Raw genomic sequence first — 19,920 nt, 5'->3', positions numbered from 1 at the left:
CCTGAAGATGTCTTACATTAATATCCAAGTAGACGAAAGAAAAGATTAGGACTTCTTTTTTGGCTGTGAGTTCACCCAAGAAAGGTAAATCGGAGGGGTGTGTGTGTGTGTGTGTGTGAGAGAGAGAGAGAGAGAGAGAGAGAAAGAGGGGAAGGGAGTGTTAGTTAAATGGTGTCCTACTGAAGACTGGAAGAGAGAAACTGACCTGTGCAGAAAAACTCTGTAATATTTTGTGAAAACAAGTGGCTATTTTCAATCCAAATTATCTTAGGTGGGGTTTGGAAGCGGCTTCCCATCAAATGGTTTATTGAGGGAGGGCTGTCAAGTGGAGCCTGTGAGGGCAGAGGATGAGCATGGGTTTTGCTGTTAGCTGGAGTGCAGCCTCGACCTCATCCCAGGGGGGATCAGGAGTGTGAATGGACTCCAGGATGGATCTGCTACAGGCAAGGTGGGGGCAGGGACTTTTTTACCCCCATTTCAGTCTGACGTTGGCTGAGGGCTGTGTCTGCCCTGGGCGAGGTCAGGGAGACACTCCTGAGCATCTGGAAGGTCACTTGCCCAGTGCTGATTCCTTAAAGAAGGGGACAGCCAGAAGCCACACGACAGCTGGGGACATGCACTGACCCAGAAAAGCGGTCTGGATGGGAAGCCAGCAGCAGCCACTATATAATTGAGGGACTTGCTGTACTTCAGTGAAGTTGACAGGATCACTGAGGACAACATGGGAAATTCTGCCTGCTGACCAGCTCAAAATAGAGAGAGGGGACATGAGCTTCCAGGAAATGAATGTGTATTCAGTTCATAGCCTGTGAAAAACATGGGCCTTTATATTTATAGGATATATATAGTATTTATAGGACATTCTTTCGGATTTATTTAAGTGTTTTAGGTTGAACAGGCTAGGATGCTTCCTAAGAATGGTTCTCTGTTGAAGTAAACGATTTGGTTTGGGAGGAGAGGGAGGAGATCTTTATTTTAGAGGAAAAAATAATAACCAGCCCTTGCAAGCACAAGACTCTGCACTGAGTGTCCACACCCTCCCTACTCAAAGGGTGGTCAGTGGACCGGCAGTGCCAGAGTCCCCAGGAGCGAGCATGCAGGAAATGCAGACTATTGCTTCGGAAGTGCCCGATGTGCCAGGCCCATCATTTAAGTCCCGCGTTTATGGAAAGTGTTTTATTTTGCTCATTTGTAAAATGACTAAGTATTCTGTAAAAGATTTCAGACAATATAAAAAGCTGCAGAGAAGACAGCGTAAAGGGCCATAAACAGGTGAGAAGGGCACACACATCCGTGGGGCTCCCAGCTAAGGCTTTGCAGGGAGCCACGTGGCCCAGGGAGGTCATAAACCCATGCTGGTTATAACTTAACAACGCTGGCTGGAATAAAGGAGGCAGTTCAGGGCTCATGCCATTCCTGGGGAAGCTGCTGAGTTCCACAGGGTGAAGCCGAGGAATTCCAATTCTGAGGTCAGGGAGGTGGGGAGGGGGCACCGGCCCCACCCTCTAGGGCGCCTTCTGTCCTTATCTTCCATCGGGGCCTACATTCAGAGGGAGGAGAAGGCACACAAATCCCATCTTGATTAAAGAAGAGAAAACAATGGTGTCTTTGTTTGGAGCCCAAAGGGAAGGATTGACTAGATTGGGAAAAATGCAGATTGGGAGATGTTTGGAGTGGGCCAGATGGAGAAGAAAGAGTCAAGTCACCTCCACCCCTAGTGGCCTGAATGCTGTCATGCGGAATTGCCTGGTCCAGTTAACAAACCCTCGCTTCATTGTTTTATTTTTAATTTGTATTTTATCTTAATTTACTTTTTAGCTAAAAAGGTAATATGTTCATTAGGAGATAAAAGGAAAGAAAAAAATGTAAACTCCCTTCACATGCCAAGCCCCAGTTCCACCATTTAATTTTTTTCCCAAAAGTTTTTAATGTATATTGCTTTTTCACATAATATATATCTTGGAGCTAGGTGCGGTGGCTCACACCTGTAATCCCCGCACTTTGGGAGGCCGAGGCGGGCTGATCACTTGAGGTCAGGAGTTTGAGACCGGCCTGGCCAGCATGGTGAAACCCTGTCTCTACTAAAAACACAAAAATTAGCTGGGCATGGTGGCTGGCGCCTGTAATCCCAGCTACTCAGGAGGCTGAGGTAGGAGAATCGCTTGAACTCGAGAGGCAGAGGCTGCAGTGAGCTGAGATGGTGCCACTGCACCCCAGCCTGGGCAACAGAGTGAGACTCCATCTCAAAATAATAATAATAATAATAATAAAAGAAATCATGACAAAATTTCCAGTATCGAGGGACTGTACTTTTCCTATTCCTCAATTGATGACATTTGTTTCCATTTGCAGATTTCCTTCCTTCCTTCCTCCCTTCCTTCCTTCCTTCCTCCTTCCCTTCCTTCTTTTTTCTTTTCTTTTCTTTCCTTTCTTTCTTTCTCTCTTTCTTTCTCTCTCTCTCTCCTTCCTTCCTTCCTTTCCTTTCCTTTCTTTCTTTCTCTTTCTTTCCCTCTCTTCTTTCCTTCCCTTCTTCCTCGCTTCCTTCCTTTCTTCTTTCCTTCCTTCTTTCCTTTCTTTCATTTCAGGCAATCCTACCATGAGTATATCTTGTATATCCTTCGCCTCCCTGTGTGAGTCTTCCTGTAGGATAATTTCCCTGATGTGAAATTGCTGGGCCAAAGGGTAGATACAGTGTGATTTTTTTTTATGGCCATTGCCAAATTGCCTTCCGGGGAGGCTGCCGTAAATGTCCACTCCCACAAGCATGCCTGTAAAAATCTTCTCGCTGAAGTTCACCTTCGGATAAAGTTCAGTAAAGGAGCAGTTGAGCTATAGCAAGGAAAGCAACTAGAAAGTTCCAAAGTGTAGAATTTTCCTTGAGGATGTATGGCACGAAGCTTGATTTGCTATTAGGGGTAAAAAAATGGAAAACAACAAACCCTTTTTGATAACCCAATAAACAATATTTTTCGGACTAGGTAGGACAGGCTGATGGTACAAAATTCAAAAGGGCAGACGGCGAAAGCAGTCCCCCCTCTCCTCCACCAGCCACATTTTAAAAAATTATCCTTTCCTTTTGTTGTGAAATAAGTAACACGTACAAAAGTATACATATAGGTACAGTTTAAAGACAAATCTGCGAAATACTCATGTACCCAGCAGCCAGCTTATGTTTTTGTTTTGTTTTTTTTCTGAGATAGAGTCTCGCTCCGTTACCCAGGTTGGAGTGCAGTGGCGCCATCTCAGCTCACTGCAACCTCTGCCTCCCAGATTCCAGCGATTCTCCTGCCCTGGCCTCCCGAGTAGCTGGGATTACAGGCACTCGCCACCATGCCCGGCTAAATTTTTTTTGTATTTTTTAGTAGAGGTGGGGTTTCACCATATTGGCCAGGCTGGTCAGCAGCCAGCTTACGAATGAGGCTTATCTGCATTATGTTGAGCTGTATCCCATTGAGAACTTAGTCTATCTCGGCTAATCCTCACAGCAGCCATGCAAGAGCTATGACACCCCTGTGACAGGTGAGGAAACGGCCTTTCGGGCTGGAGCAGCCGCCCCCGTTTCAGTTAATAAGCAGCAGATCCGCAGCCTGGCTCTTCGGTGGCCTTGGACTCACAGTCGTGTGGGTGTCAGTAGGTTAATGACGTCTAGCGCATGGGTGGTGCTCTTCAGTTCCCATGTCCTGCTTTAGACACAGGCACGGTTGGCCTTTGCGTGAGAGCACCAAGATGGGTGAGCCTCAGTGGTGGGAGGGGCCTTGGCATCAGTCCGTCTTGCCCAGGGCTCCTCTCTGGCCACCCACGTCCCCCTGAATGTGTGGGTGATGGGGGTGCTCTGGGAGGGAGGTGCTTGTTCCCAAGCCTAGAAAGGGTCACCAAGGGGCTGCCGCATGGCAGTGCCCGCACCAGTGAATGAGGGGTGAATGGTGGCGTTTACACTAGCAAATGGGGAAGCAGAAGTGCTGGGGCACAGAGCAGTGCATTTGGCAAAAGTCAGAAGTGCCATAACTGGAGCTTTCTGGGCCTATGTCTCCTTTCCATCTCTGTCTGCGAGTCACTCCTCTTCCAAGCCAGGCTCTAATTCTACCCACTCCCTGGAAAAAAAGCCCCCACTGCCATCATCTCTCTTGTTTGCATGATGCAGGGCTTTGGAATCTTCTAGCGTTTGCTATCCAGGCCTTGCTGGGTACTCTGCTCATAGAAGATGCTCAGAGGCTGTGTTGACTGAAGAGAGGAAGGAGATGTGGCCCTGTGCACATGGGGCTGAGTGGTGGCCTGGCTGGCCTCTCCTCGGGGGCAGATCACCTTTGAGGATGGGAACCTCCAGGAGTTTGTTGCATCCAGGTTAAAGCCTGATGTTAAGTGTGCCAGCTTCCCCATATTTTTAGTTTGGATGTTTTAAAACAGTAGTCGGTTATTTCTACTAACTAGTGAAAGGAGCAACTAATCTCTGGGTGGATTTCTGCTCTGATGAGCTGAAGGTTGGAAATCGGGTTTGCCGCTTGATCTACTGGGTAGTGGGAGCCAGCTGCTCGCTGCTGCATGGGCCCAGAAGGCCGGGAAAACACAAAGTCTGCATTACAGTGCAAACATGAAAGCTAGAGCGGGCGCATTCCTTAGGAGAGGAGTCTGTAGTCCTTGCCTATGTGGAAAACTAGTCCCAAAGATGTGGCCTTTCTTTCCTGGAACCAACAGAGTTCATCCATTCATTCGATATTTTGATTTTTAAAATATTGCCTTAAAACTTTCTTAACCTTGATTGGTGAGGGTTGGTTTGTTTGTTTTCTGTTTTTCTGAGACAGGGTCTCACTCTCGCCCAGGCTGGAGTGCAGTGGTGCGATCATGGCTCACTGTAGCCTTGAATTCCTGGGTTCCAGTGATCTCTCCCACCTTAGCCTCCTGAGTAGCTGGGACCACAGGGGCATGCCACCATGCCCAGCTAATTTTTTACTTTTTTGTAAAGACAGGGATCTCCCCATGTTCGCCAGGCTAGTCTCGAACTCCTGGACTCAAGAGATCCTCCTGCCTTGGCCTCCCAAAGTGCTGGGATTACAGGTGTGAGCCATGCACCCATCCTAGAATAGTTTTAAGAGAAAAGGTGGGAGATTCATTGTCATTACACTGCCCAGAAGGAACCACAGTTAGTACGAAAATTATTATTATTAATACTGGCAGGTGGTTGGAGATGGGAAGTAGTACAGACAGGGACGCAATGGCAAGTGTAAGCCTTCACCACCCTCCAGACCGTCTCTCCAGAACCCCAGGTTTATGTTTCGGAAACATGTACATCCGTGCATATGCCAATGTGAATGTGCATTTATTTAGAACTCTCGTTTTCATACTTGGCTGCACACTAGAGCCTCCTGGGGAAGCTTTAACAAATTCTCCTGCTCAGGCAACACCCAGAGATGACATATATTTATTAATCTTAAAATACATATGTAGGCCGGGCGTGGTGGCTCATGCCTGTAATCCCAGCACTTTGGGAGGCCGAGGCAGGTGGATCTCCTGAGGTCAGGAGTTCAAGATCAGCCTGGTCAACATGGTGAAACCCGGTCTCTACTAAAAAAATACAAAAGTTAGCTGGACATTGTAGCAGGCACCTGTGGTCCCAGCTACTAGGGAGGCTGAGGCAGGATACTCGCTTGAACCCAGGAGGCAGAGGTTGCAGTGAGCCGACATTGTGCCACTGCACTGCAGCCTGGGAGACAGAGTGAGACTCCTTCTCAAAAAATAAAATAAAATAAAAATGTACATATATATAATTTGTAGAAAATGTGAAGGATCACAAGAAACTTGCGAGTTAGGACTAGGGAAGGAGAGGTGCATGGGGTGACAAAGGGATCTTTTCTGTTTTATTTTTTTTAATTTACTGCTGTTTTTCACCATAAAACTGGGGGGTATATTACTTTTAAATTTAAACAACTATTAATAGTAACCTTTTGTTATTTATTTTGTTTATTTATTTATGTATTTATTTGAGACAGGGTCTCGCTCTATTGCCCAGGCTGGAGTGCGGTGGCACTATCTCAGCTCACTGCAACCTCTGCCTGCTGGGTTCAAGCAATTTTCGTGCCTCATTCTCCCAGGTAGCTGAGATTACAGATGTGGGCCACCACACCAGGCTAATTTTTGTATTTTTACTAGAGACGGGGTTTCACTGTATTGGCCAGGCAGGTCTCGAACTCCCGACCTCAGGCGATCCACCCAGCCCGGCCTCCCAAAATGCTAGGATTACAAGCGTGAGCCACCGCACCCAGCCTATTTTTTATATTTTAATAAAAGGTAACTATTAGGGCCAGGCACGGTGGTTCATGCCTGTAATCCCAGCACTTTGAGAGGCCAAGGCAGGTGGATCACCTGAGATCGGGAGTTTGACACCAGCCTGGCCAACACAGTGAAACCCCTTCTCTACTAAAAATAAAAAAATTAGATGGCTGTTGTGGCGGGCACCTGTAGTCGCAGCTACTTGGGAGGCTGAGGCAGGAGAATTGCTTGAACTAGGGAAGCGGAGGTTGCAGTGAGCCAAGATTATGCCACTGCACTTCAGCCTGAGTGATAGAGCAAGACTCAGTCTCAAAAAAATAAAATAAAATAAAATATTAAAAATAAAACTACAGCTTCCTAGTCCCAGCCCCTGACCTAGTGCCTGGGGTCCCTGAGGCAGGCCCGGGAATCTGTACAGGGTCTGCGGGTTTCTCCAGGTGGCATCCCTCCTGTCTCTAGGCTCTAGGATGGTCTCGTGGCTGTGGCAGTGGCCTCTTCATGCTCCATGCACCCCCAGTACCATATTCACCCTCTCTCAACTTCCATGCTTTTGTGACGTGTGTCTCCTTCACAGCCATAACCTCTCTTTGAGAGCCTAAGTTAGACCTTACAGCCGGGCGCAGTGGCTCACGCCTGTAATCCCAGTACTTTGGGAGGCCGAGATGGGAGGATCACGAGGTCGGGAGATCGAGACCATCCTGGCTAACACGGTGAAACCCCGTCTCTACTAAAAATACAAAATATTAGCTGGGCGTGGTGGTGAGCGCCTGTAGTCCCAGCTACTCGGGAGGCTGAGGCCGGAGAATGATGTGAACCCAGGAGGCGGAGCTTGCAGTGAGCCGAGATGGTGCCACTGCATTCCAGCCTGGGCGACAGAGCGAGTCTCAGTCTCAAAAACAAAAAACAAAAAAACCTTACTATGGTGATTTCTTAATTTCATTTATTTATTTATTTATTTACTTATTTTTTTTTTTTTTGGAGACGGAGTCGCGCTCTGTTGCGCAGGCTAGAGTGCAGTGGCACAATCTCGACTCACTGCAACTTCTGCCTCCTGGGTTCAAGCAATTCTCCTGCCTCAGCCTCTCCAGTAGCTGGGATTACAGGCATGTGCCATGATGCCCAGCTAATTTTTGTATCTTTAGTAGAGACGGGGTTTCGCCATGTTGGCCAGGCTGGTCTCAAACTCCTGACCTCAGGTGATCCGCCCACGTCAGCCTCCCAAAGTGCTGGGATCACAGGTGTGAGTCACTGTGAAGCACCCAGCCAATTCGTTTCTTAAAGCCCAATAAAACTTGCTGATATGGCCTACGGGAATTTCCTAGAATCTGTCATGTGAGATTCTGCTTAGTGTGCTTGCTTCTGTCACATACCAGTCTCAACCTTAAAAAAAAAAATTCAACTTTGATTTTAGATTCAGGGGGTGCATGTGCAGGTTTGTTTATATGGGTACATTGCATGATGCTGAGATTTGAGGTCCAGATGATCCCGTCACCCAGGTAGTGCGCGTAGTACCCAATGGGGAGTTTCTCAGCCCTTGGCCCCTCCCTCTGTCCGCCCTCTGGTAGTCCCCAGCGTCTGTTGTTCCACCTTTAAGTCCCATCCTTCTTTTTGAGTGTGAGCCTCCTATTCAGCCACTGGCTCAAGGGGTGACCTTCGCCAGTGTAGGGTGCTGAGCTGGGTGTGCTCTGAGGTCTCTGCCCTGCCACTACCTTACCTGACCTCAGGCAAGACCACAACCAGAATCTTAAAGACCCTAACCTGTGGCTCTTGAAAGCCAAGTTGAACACTGGAATATCCAGCGACGTTTGTTAAAAATAGATTCCTGGGCCCGGCGCGGTGGCTCACGCCTGTAATCCCAGCACCTTGGGAGGCCGAGGGGGGCAGATCACAAGGTCAGGAGATCGAGACCATTCTGGCTAACATGGTGAAACCCCGTCTCTACTAAAGATACAAAAAATTAGCTGGGCGTGGTGGCGGGTGCCTGTAGTTCCAGGTACTCGGGAGGCTGAGGCAGGAGAATGGCGTGAACCTGAGAGGTGGAGCTTGCAGTGAGCTGAGATTGCGCCACTGCACTCCAACCTGGGTGACAGAGCCAGACTCCGTCTCAAAAAAAAAAAAAAAAATGGATTCCTGATTCCTACCCCAGACCCACTGAGTTGGTCTTAGGAGAAGTGAGTTAAGATTTTCAAAAGTTCTCCAGGTGATTCTGAGGCTCTGGCAAGTATGTAAAATACTGTACTGTCCAAGCTCATCTAAATAGTCTGTTGCACACACACAGAGTCCATGTTTATATTCTTTATCTGACATTCTGCCATACACATCAGGGTGAGTACCAATCATGGAGGTAGGAGCGGCAATGCTTTGATGAGGCTGAGCTCCCTGCTCTATATTGTACCTGTGATATCTCAGCTAGAAGGCAGGTCCAGTGTTAGCCCAGTTCTAATGCCAGCATGAGATCTTGTTTGGAAATGATTTTCATAACTGCCACAAATGCCTTAGTGTCCTGCCAATGGCCTGGGCATCTGCCATTTCTGGGCACACCTGTCCAAGTGGCAACTGTCCACCCCTGCACCTCTGCCTGAGGGGTTCCCTGCTGGAGCCCAGTCTGTCTGCACAAGGCAGGCAGAAGTGCTGGGGATGGAGAATCAAAACCACCCAGGAGCAGCCGGCAGCCAGTGACTGACCTCAGCTCCTGGAGGGGTGGGATGACGCCAAGGTGTGTGCCACACTGTCTCCCTGCGTTGCACAGAGGACTGGACCCTGGTTGTCCACCGTGTAACTGGCTGGGTAGCTTCCCCTCTACTGGATCCTACCCCTCCCTGCCTCACATCTTCGTTGCCCTATAGGTTCTTCCCAGGATCACCTCTCAAATAAACTACTTGTACTGGAATCTTTGTCCCAGGCTCTGTTTCTGGGAATACCCAAATTAATTTTTTTTTAATGGAGTCTCACTCTGTTGCCCAGACTGGAGTGCAGTGGCTCGATCTCAGCTCGCTACAACCTCCACCTCCTGGGTTCCAGTGATTCTCCTTCCTCAGCCTCCCGAGTTGCTGGGACTATGGGTGCGCGCCACCATGCCTGGCTAGTTTTTTGTATTTTCAGTAGAGACGGGGTTTCACCATGTTGGCCAGGCTGGTCTCGAACTCCTGACCTCAAGTCATCCGCCTGCCTCGGCCTCCCAAAGTGCTGGGATTACAGGCGTGAGCCACTGCACCTGGCCCGAATTAATTTTTTTTAAAAGTTTACTTTGCTCACAATAATATGAAAACATTAAGGTATGTGAGTTGGAAGAATAAAAATCTTCCTCCCTAAAGCAGGTGGTGGTTTTGTTTGTTTGTTTGTTTGTTTGTTTTCTATGTTGGCATCTGTTTGTGTTAGGTTTACTCAGGTGGATGCTATGATTTTTTGTAGACAGTTTTCTCTCCTGCTGTAACCATTGTCCTCATGCTGCCATGAATCCTTGGTCATGGCATGACTTTTACTGGCTTCATAGTTGGGTGGTTCTGGCTTGGCCATGACCAACCGATGCTGTGTCTGTCCCTCATCCTTTCAGGCATTCGTCCCTACAAATGCAACGTCTGCAATAAAGCCTTCACCCAGCGCTGCTCTCTGGAGTCCCACCTGAAGAAAATCCATGGGGTGCAGCAGCAGTATGCCTATAAGCAGCGGCGGGACAAGCTCTACGTCTGCGAGGATTGCGGCTACACGGGCCCCACCCAGGAGGACCTGTACCTGCACGTGAACAGTGCCCATCCGGGCAGCTCGTTTCTCAAAAAGACATCTAAAAAACTGGCAGCCCTTCTGCAGGGCAAGCTGACATCCGCACACCAGGAGAATACCAGCCTGAGTGAGGAGGAGGAGAGGAAGTGAGGAGAAGGAAGGGGAGGACAGACGTTCACACTGCCACGTATGTCTACGTGGATTTTTGGTTTTCAGCTTCCCCCACCCCACTGGCTCTTCTTAATTAGAAGTGACCAGTTCACCTCTGTGTCCTTTTGAAACATCAGCAGTAGGGTCCATTCCAAGATTGTCAGTTGCCGTTAGTGACGTCAGGCCCTGTAACCTGTGTCCTGTCTGGCGCAGTTGCTCACATTCACCAAAGTTTGTTTTCATGATCCTGATGGCCAAGAACACCGTGTGGGATTTTTTTTTCCCCCAAGGATTTTCACACACGGAAGGAGAGGTATTTCTTAGAGAGATCATCATTTTATGGTGCCTTGAAATAAAAATACTTCTACTTGAAATGCTGTTTAAGCAAGGCAAGTGAATTTTGTTATTCTGAAAGAGTTTACAGAAACTATTTTAATAAATGAAATGTTCTTGTGAAGCTTTTAAAAGCAAAATGGAACATTGACCTACAGCTCTCTGTTCAGGGCTTATTGTGTGATGTTTAACTTCAGGTTATTGAGGTGGGGAGGTTGATTACTTTATATTAGTTGTGTGGGTTTGAAGAAGCAGATCTTCCTCTCTTTTTTTGTTTTTGAGACAAGTTCTCACTCTGTCACCCAGGCTGGAGTACAGTGGCATGATCATGGCTCACTGCAACCTTGACCTCCCAGGCTCAGGTAATCTTCCCACTTCAGCCTCCCGAGTAGCTGGGACTATAGGTGTGTGCCACTATGCCCAGCTAATTTTTGTATTTTTTGTAGAGATGGGGTTTTGCTATGTTGTCCAGGCTGAGAAGCAAATCTTGAGTGTTGGGTGGAAGAACAAACGGCCAATTGGAAAAACCTGCACTGAGGGGCTGGCTCATGCAGGCTGGTGGGCAGAGATGCCTGGGGGTGGCATGGCAGGGAACTCAACTCATGGATCTCTTTTTATGGGCCTGGTCTCTTTTTCTGCAGAGGTCTTGGCTTTCTGCGGTTAGGATGCGCTGGCCGAAGGCTCTTCTCCCTCCCTTGAATGGGCTCTGTGGCCAACCCTGGAGCATGAGAAATGCTGGCTCCTCACTTGCAGGTGGGATAACAGTGACAGGAGTTCCCTCAGGGTGTGTGACAGCTGAGTGAAGTGACCTCTGCTACCTCCATCTCCTCACCTTGGAGGCCTGCGTCAGAGCCATGGGAGGTGAGACCCTGACTGCCTCGGGGGGTATTTGCCTCAGGCTGGGAGCTGTTGCCTGAATTGAGTAGGAAGTTCGGATCACCTACACCCTGATCACCTACACCCTGGTCAGCAACAGCCCATCACCTACACCCTGATCGTCTACACCCCATCACCTACATCCTGATCACCTACACCCTGGTTGCCAACATCCCATCACCTACACCTCAATCACCTTGACCCTGATCACCTACATCCCATCACCTACACCCTGATCACCTATACCCTGGTCACCTACACCCCGATCACCTACACCCCAATCACCTACACCCTGATCACCTACACCCCAATCACCAACACCCCATCACCTACACCTCTATCTCCTTGACCCCAATCACCTACACCCCATTGCCTACACCCCAATCACCTATACCCCATCACCTACACCCTGATCACCTACACCCCAATCACCAACACCCCATCACCTACACCTCTATCACCTTGACCCCGATCACCTACACCCCATTGCCTACACCCCAATCACCTATACCCCATCACCTACACCTCAATCATCTACACTCCATCACCTACACCTCATCACCTATACCCTGATCACCTACACTGCATCACCTATACCTCATCACTTACACCCTGATCACCTACACCCCAATCACCAACACCCCATCACCTACACCTTGATCACCTTGACCCCCATCACCGATACCTCAATCATCTATACCCCATCACCTACACCCCATCACCCAAACCCCAGTCACCTACACCTGATCATCTATACCCCACCACCTATACCCCTTCACTTACACCCTGCTCACCTATACCCCAATCACCTACACCCTGATCATCTATACCCCATCACCTATACCCGTCACCTACACCCCATCACCTACACCCCAATCATCTACACCCCACCACCTATACCTCATCACTTACACCCCGATCACCAACACCCCATCACCAACACCTTGATCACCTTGACCCCCATCACCTACACCCCATCACCTACACCTCAATCATCTATACCCCATCACCTACACCTCGATCATCTATACCCCATCACCTACACCTCAATCATCTATACCCCATCACCTACACCTTGATCATCTATACCCCATCACCTACATCTCGATCATCTATATCCCAATCATCTACACCCCATCACCTACAACCTGATCACCTATACCCCGATCACCTACAACCTGATCATCTATACCCCATCACCTATACCCATCACCTACACCCCGATCATCTACACCCCACCACCTATACCCCATCACTTACACCCTGATCACCTACACCCCAATCACCAACACCCCATCACCTACACCTTGATCACCTTGACCCCCATCACCTACACCCCATCACCTACACCTCAATCATCTATACCCCATCACCTACACCTCGATCATCTATACCCCATCACCTACACTTCAATCATCTATACCCCAGTCATCTACACCCCATCACCTACATCCTGATCACCTATACCCTGATCATCTACACCCTATCACCTACACCCCATTGTCTTTTATTGCCCACTCCCTGTCCCCTGGGCACCACCTGGGCCACTTCTTGGTCTAGGGAAGCATCCAGATGAGGAGGCCCTTGTCTTATTTTCTCCCTCCCTGCTTCCTCTTTCCCCTCCCTCCTTTCCTTCCACCTTCTTCTCTCCTTCTCTCCCACACTGTGCGCCAGGCCTTGTGCCAAGATCTGGACATTTTAAGTGGCATATCCTATAGCTTGAGTCAATGCTTCTCTTCCAATTAAGCGCTTTTGTTTCAGAAGGAAAGGAAATGAACCCTTTTTGGGCAGTGAGCTAGGTAGTCCTAGCTGGGCAGATGTTTTCTGGAAGAATCCTCAGAGCACCCCTGGGGTCACAGGCCTGTTTTCATGAGTAGATGAGGCAACTGCAGAGGCTGTCCTCTGGCGGTCAGAGGCAGAGGCCAGGAATCCTAAGTCTAGTCAGAACACCTCTATTTTCCCCCTCTCTCCTCACCTTCCCTTCAAAAAAGAAAGCAAAGGCCTCAGGCTGGACTGGGACCATGCAGAGGCAGGTATGAGACCAGGGCTGACTGGGGAGTCCTCACCCCTCTGCTGTTTGAACTGGCAAGTTTCAGGGACCCTGGGGCCCTGCTCTGCCTCATGTGAAGCTCCGGGTTCCTGGGCTGAGGCTGTAGCACTCAACAGTCTAAATGGCCCCATTCAGGCAGCAGCAGCAGCAGTAGGGGTTGAACCTGGCACTCAAGTGTCACAGGTGCAGCCTCCCAGGACAGCAAGTGCTGAGGATCAACCCTGACTCCAGAGGGCAGAGTACTCACATTGTGTTCTCTCTTAGCACTTGCTGCCAAGGAAGGCGCCGCTGGAAGGCGGTTGATTTGCTTTCTCCTTGGTTATCTGGGTCATGTAGACAACAAAAGTGAGCGTTCTTAGAAAGGAATATCCAAACGACAGGCTGGGGCAGCTGACCTGTGCCTGTTTTGCACAGGGAATTGTGAACCAGCTAACGTTCTCCTTAGGGTCAGGTTTTTATTTAACAGAGCTCTTGGTTGCAAGAGACAGAAACCCAGTGTAAAACAACTTCAGCAGAAAAGGGAATGTAGTAGCTGTAAAGCTTAGGGTTGTTCCAGTTTCAGGGGTGGCCAGATCTGGTGCTTATGTGATGTCATCCTCTCTTACCTCCCTCTCCGTCTTTTAGCTCGATTTCCCCCATGGTGGCTTCTTTCTCAGGCAGGCGCAAATGGAGGCTGGATGGCCACCCACAGCTCTGGACTTCTGCCTCACAGTGCAGTCACTCAGCAGGAGGGTTTCTCTTTCAGGCTAAGATCTTGGGCAGATTTGGCTCTGGGACCCACCCTCAACTAATCACTGTGCCCTGGGAAATGTGCAGCTCTCTTAGCCCAGGCCTAAACCCCTCCCTCCCCTGAATTGAGTGGAGAGAGCGCAGGTCAGCTACACCACTGGTCTGGGAGCAGTGGGAAAGGGATTCTCCAGCAGAATCAGGACAACATGGCCAAAAGAAGTGGACGTTGGGCGGCTATGCTAGTTAAGACAAGGCATGGCTGGGCCGGGTGCGGTGGCTCACACCTGTAATCCCAGCACTTTGGGAGGCCAAGGTGGGAGGATCACTTGAGGTCAGGGATTTGAAACCAGCCTGACCAACATGGTGAGCCAAGATCGCACCACTGCACTCCAGCCTGGCGAAAGAGCAAGACTCCATCTCTAAAACAAAACAAAACAAAACAAAAGATCAGGCGTGCTGCTGTAACAAAGATTCCCAACACACCTATGGCTTAAAGAAGAGAGAGCGTTGTTTCTCACGTAGTAGTTCTGGGTTGAGAGTTCTCCTCCATGACATCACTTGGGGGCCCAGAGTTTTCCCTTGCGTTGCTCTGCCATGCCCTAGGATAATGCCATCATATGTGTGGTAGAAGCTGGGTGTCTATGGGTCTCAGCTGATCAGAGAGTTGTCTTGAAGAAGCAAATCTTGAGCGTTGGGTGGAAGAACAAATGACTGATTGGAAAAACCTGCACTGAGGATCTGGCTCATGCAAGCTGGTGGGCAGAGATACCTGGGGGTGACTTGGCAGGGAGCTCAACAACTTGGGCTCTTTTTAAGGTCCTGGTCTCTCTTTTTTTAATATATTTTTGGTTTCCCCAGAAGCCAATTCCGAGGCAAGGATTAAAGTTCAAGTGGGGCTGGGCACGGTGGCTCACGCCGGTAATCCCAGCACTTTGGGAGGCCGAGGCGGGCAGATCACGAGGTCAGGAGTTTGAGACCAGCGTGGCCAACATGGCGAAACCCCGTCTCTACTGAAAATACAAAAATTAGCCAGGCGTGATGGCAGGCGCCTGTAATCCCAGCTACTCAGGAGGCTGAGGCAGGAGAATTGCTTGAACCCAGGAAGCGGAAGTTGCAGTGAGCCAAGATCGTGCCATTGCACTCCAACCTGGGCAACAAGAGCAATACTCCATGTCAAAAAAAAGAAAAAAAAAAAAAGTTCAAGTGGATTGTTTAGGAAGCAATCCCAGAAAGTATCTGCAGGGGATTGGGGAGGTGTGACAGGAAGAAAAGTGCCCATGTGGGGAACAGAATCAAGGAAGTTACTGCTGTGGGTAACTGGTGCTTAATCACCCTGGGCCCTCTAGGAGGCAGTACAGCACACGTCTCAGAGTTATCCCACTGCAGATGCATAGGACACTGTCTGCAACTTTCCATCCATCATTGGTTGAAGGCTGCTGACATTAGGGCCCTTCCAACTTGCCCTGTGCACTGGCCAAGCATGCCTCCTGTGCCAGGAAAATCTGCAGAGGTTAGCTGTAAGCAGCTTTCAGCACATAGACCTGAAAGCTGGCAAAACCCAGTGAGATGATGATTGTGTCTGGTACAGGTGTGGAAGGGTCACAGCCCCTACCTGAAGACACTGGCCTGGGTATGGCCCTTCCATTCCCATTCCATAGGGAGAATTTAGTCACATTAACTAGAGGGGTGGAGAAAAGCAGGTGTCTCAGCCACAATACTTCTGTGCAGCAGAATGGGGATGGATTATGGTGGATGACTGAAAGTCTCTACCATGGCAGGCAAAGTCAACTGATGTCCACTCTAGCCTTTTTTGCTTCCTCCTCCCAACTCTGTTTACCTGTCCTGCTCTCAGCCAGTTGCTAGGAAATCCAGCCAAAGTGCCCAAAATCATGACTTAGGGTTCTCAGGCTGGCAGCCCTGGAGCCTTGGGTCTGAAGGTGTTGGGGATGGAGACCCATGAGCTATTAACTTGTACCGAGTCCACCCAGCACTATCTGCTTTGGGTTGGTGTTAGTTTAGCACCATGTGGATATGCTGATGCTTGTGCTAGTCACAAGTGCCTACTGGTTATTCATTTTGGAGAATGGGATCTGTTTTCCATCAATGTGATTTATTTTGTGAATGTCTTAAGTTGGGTCCTAGAAGCGGAGTCTGAGACAAGGATTCTGGGGTAAGTGATTTATTGAGGGAGGCTCTCAGGAGAAACCAAGAAGGAGGTGAGGGAAGCGAGGGAAGTACAGCAGAGGAATAAACTCAGCAAAGATGCGGGGTCGGCTGATGTCCAGCCTCGGCCTGATTCCAGGCAGCTCTGGATATGAATGGCACCACCGAAGTTGTCCCACCTTGAGGCAAGGGGGCCTGTCATCAGCTGTGGGCTACCCCTGGTCAGGCAAGGCATAACCACCGGGCATTTTCAGCAATAGCAACTGTGAGCTGTTTAGTAGTCAATGCTCTGAGCAGCTGCAGGCTGGCTCTCTAAAGGTCTCCAAGCAGAGGAAGAGAAATCATAGCGACGGATTCTTAAGGGTGAAAAAGACGGCGGTCCACAGAATCTGGCTACATCCCTCTGGAACATTTGCATTTTGATAAAGGACTTGCTTTTGGAGCTAAGGAGTGAATCATTTATTGCAAATTATGTGGCATTTTCAGAAGAAGTAAAATAATATATAGAAATGTACACAAAGGAAAGTCATATCTGCAAACGAGTCCCTTATCTGCCAAGCCTCTCCTCTACCATTGTAATTAACCACTGTTATTAGCTCCTCCTGTAACTTTCCTGAGTTTCTTTACCCATATATAAGCAAACATGAATGTGTGTATTCTTGCTGTCCACTGTTTCTTCTTCTTTTAGCATTTTAATTAGCAGATAGCATATTATACATACTGTTTGGAACTTTGCATTTTTCTTTTTTTTAATTTTAAATTTTAAGTGTTGTGGGTACATAGTAGGTGTATATGCATTTTTCTTTTAATAGTACATCTAGTGGTTCTTTCCAAAATAGTACAAAAAAGTGTTCTCATACAAAAAAATTAGCCGGGCATGGTGGTGTGTACCTGTAATCCCAGCTACTTGGGAGGCTGAGGCAAGAGAATCGCTTGAAACTGGGAGGCAGGGGTTGGAGTGAGCCAAGACTGTGACACTGCACTCCAGCCTGGGCAACAGAGTGGACTCCATCGCAAAAAAAAAAAAAAAAGTGTTTTCATTCTTCTTTACAGCTATCTGGTATTGTATTATATGGATGTGCCATAATTTAGGCTATCAGTCTTCTATTGATAGGCAGTAACGTTATTTCCAATATTTTGCTACTATGGAGAATGCTACAATGAGTAATATACATATGTCATTTCATATAGGTGCAAATATATCTGTGGGATAAATTCCCAGAAATGCAATGGTTAGAGCTAACAATTTCATACAATTAAGGGTCATTTGTAGTTCCTTCTTCTGTGAACTGCTTTAACGCCCCTTTTTCCACTGGGGTGTTGGTCTTTTTCTCTGCCTAACTTCTAGGAGTTTTGGGTTTTTTTCAAAATATATCAGGAAGTTTGGCCCATTATGATGTAAGCTACTGGTTTTTATAATGTTGATAGATACAGCCTAATTACCCTACCCAGAGGTTGTATTGTTTGTGATGTGTGAGAGTGCCTGTGACCTCACCACCCTGCCAGTGTTGTCTTGCTATGGTTTGGGATGTCTGCCAATCTGATATGGAAGAAATAGGTTTTCGGTATAATTTTATATTTTTGTTATATTTGAGAGAGAGTTAATGTTTTTTCATATGATTAAGGGCCATTTGTACAGTCTATGTGCGTGGGATTGGTTCCAGGACCGCTACAGATACCAAAATCCACAGATGTTCAAGTCCCTGATGTAAAATGGTGTAGTACTGGCTGGGCACCGTGGCTCACACCTGTAATCCCCGCACTTTGGGAGGCCAAGGCGGGCAGATCACTTGAGCTCAGGAGTTCAAGACCAGCCTGGGCAACATGGGAAAACCCTACCTCTACCAAAAATACAAAAAATTTTCCAGGCTGGTGGCACAGGCCTGTAGTCCCAGCTACTCGGGAGGCTGAGGTGGGAGGATCGCTTGAGCCTGGGAGGCAGAGGTTGCAGTGAGCCAAGATTGCTCCACTGTACTCCAACCTGGGTGACAGAGTGAGACCCCATCTCAAAAAAAAAAAAAAAGGTATAGTATTTGCATATAAACTACGCACATCCTTCCATATATATATATGTGTGTGTGTGTGTATATATATACGTCCATATATATATATATATATATATATATATGGAGATATATATATATATATATATATGGAGATATATATATATATATATGGAGATATATATATATATATATATATATAGATATAGATATAAAACTTCTAGGAGTTTTGGGGATCTTTTCAAAATATATCAGGAAGTTTGGCACATTATGATGTAAGTTGCTGGTTTTTATAATGTTGATAGATATGGCCTAATTATAGATAGATAGATATAGATATAGATATAGATATATAGACATACATAGATACACACACACACACACACACACATATATGTGTATTTTTAAAGATGAGGTCTCACTATGTGGTCCAGGCTTGTCTCAAACTCCTGAACTCAAGTGATCCTCTCGCCCCGGCCTCCCAAAGTGCTAGGATTACAGGCATAAGCCACCACTTCCAGCCATTCCATATACTTTAAATCATTTCTACATTACTTATAATAGCTAATACTATGTAAATGCTATATAAATAGTAGTTATGCTTTGTTGTTTTTTATTTATATTATTTTTATTAGGTTTTTCCTTTTTTTTTTTTTTTTTTTTTTTTTTTTTTTTTTTTTTTTTTTTTGAGACAGGATCTCATTCTGTTGTCCAGGCTGGAGTGTAGTGGCATAATCTTGGCTCACTGCAGCCTTGACCTCCCAGGCTCAGGTGATCCTCCTACCTCAGCCTCCTGAGAAGTTGGGACTACAAGCATGTGCCATTACGCCCAGTTAATATTTTGTAGAGACAGGGTCTCACTATGTTACCCAGGCTGGTCTCAAGCAGTTCTCCGACCTCAGCCTCCCAAAGTGCTAGGATTACAGGCATGAGCCACTGCTCCTGACCCCAAATATTTTCAACCTGTCGTTGGTTGAATCCACAATGTAGAACTCTTGGATACAGAGGGCTGACTTTATAGTCCCCTTTTCTGTGAACTGCCTGCCTGAATGTCCATTTTCCCACTGGGTTTCTGCCTAGCTTGGTCTTTTTTTTCTGCCTAATCTCCAGAAGTTTTTTGTTTCTTTGGTTTTTCTGTTTTTGTTTTTGTTTTTTTTTTTTTTGAGATGGAGTCTTGTTCTGTCGCCCAGGCTGGAGTGCAATGGCGTGGTCTCGGCTCACTGCAACCTCCGCCTCCCAGGTTCAAGCAATTCTCCTGCCTCAGTCTCCCAAGTAGCTAGGATTACAGGTGCCCGCCACCACGCTTGGCTAATTTTTGTATTTTTAGTAGAGATGGAGTTTCACCCTGTTGGCCAGGCTGGTCTCAAACTCCTGACCTCGTGATCCGCCCGCCTCGGCCTCCCAAAGTGCTGGGATTACAGGCGTGAGCCACCGCGCCCGGCCTGATTTTGCTCATTCTGTTTTGTTGTTGTTGTGACCAAGCAGAAGTTTTTTATTTTTATGTACTTTGAGTTGATCCATCTTTTTCTTTCTTTCTTCCTTTCTTTTTTTTTTTTTCTTTGAGTAGAGATGTCTTGCTATGTTGCCCAGGTTGGTCTCGAACTCCTGAGCTCAAGCAATCGGCCTGCCTCG

General features: G+C 47.7%; 1 protein-coding gene across 3 annotated transcripts in view; it reads left to right on the top strand.

The window, feature by feature from the left end:
- The window catches only part of OVOL2 (ovo like zinc finger 2), a 35,037-nt gene extending 24,419 nt beyond the window's left edge, over positions 1-10,618 (top strand). For 2 of the 3 annotated variants that reach the window (NM_001303462.1, NM_001303461.1), the window contains one exon: positions 9,818-10,618. In NM_001303462.1, coding sequence (NP_001290391.1) covers positions 9,818-10,134 — 317 coding nt within the window. In that variant the 3' untranslated portion in view covers positions 10,135-10,618. The remainder of the gene's footprint in view (positions 1-9,817) is intronic. The other variant, NM_021220.4, reaches the window with a different exon arrangement.

Source organism: Homo sapiens, chromosome 20 (assembly GCF_000001405.40).
Source record: "Homo sapiens chromosome 20, GRCh38.p14 Primary Assembly".
NCBI lineage: Eukaryota > Metazoa > Chordata > Mammalia > Primates > Hominidae > Homo > Homo sapiens.
This window is presented reverse-complemented; position numbering and strand designations above follow the sequence as displayed.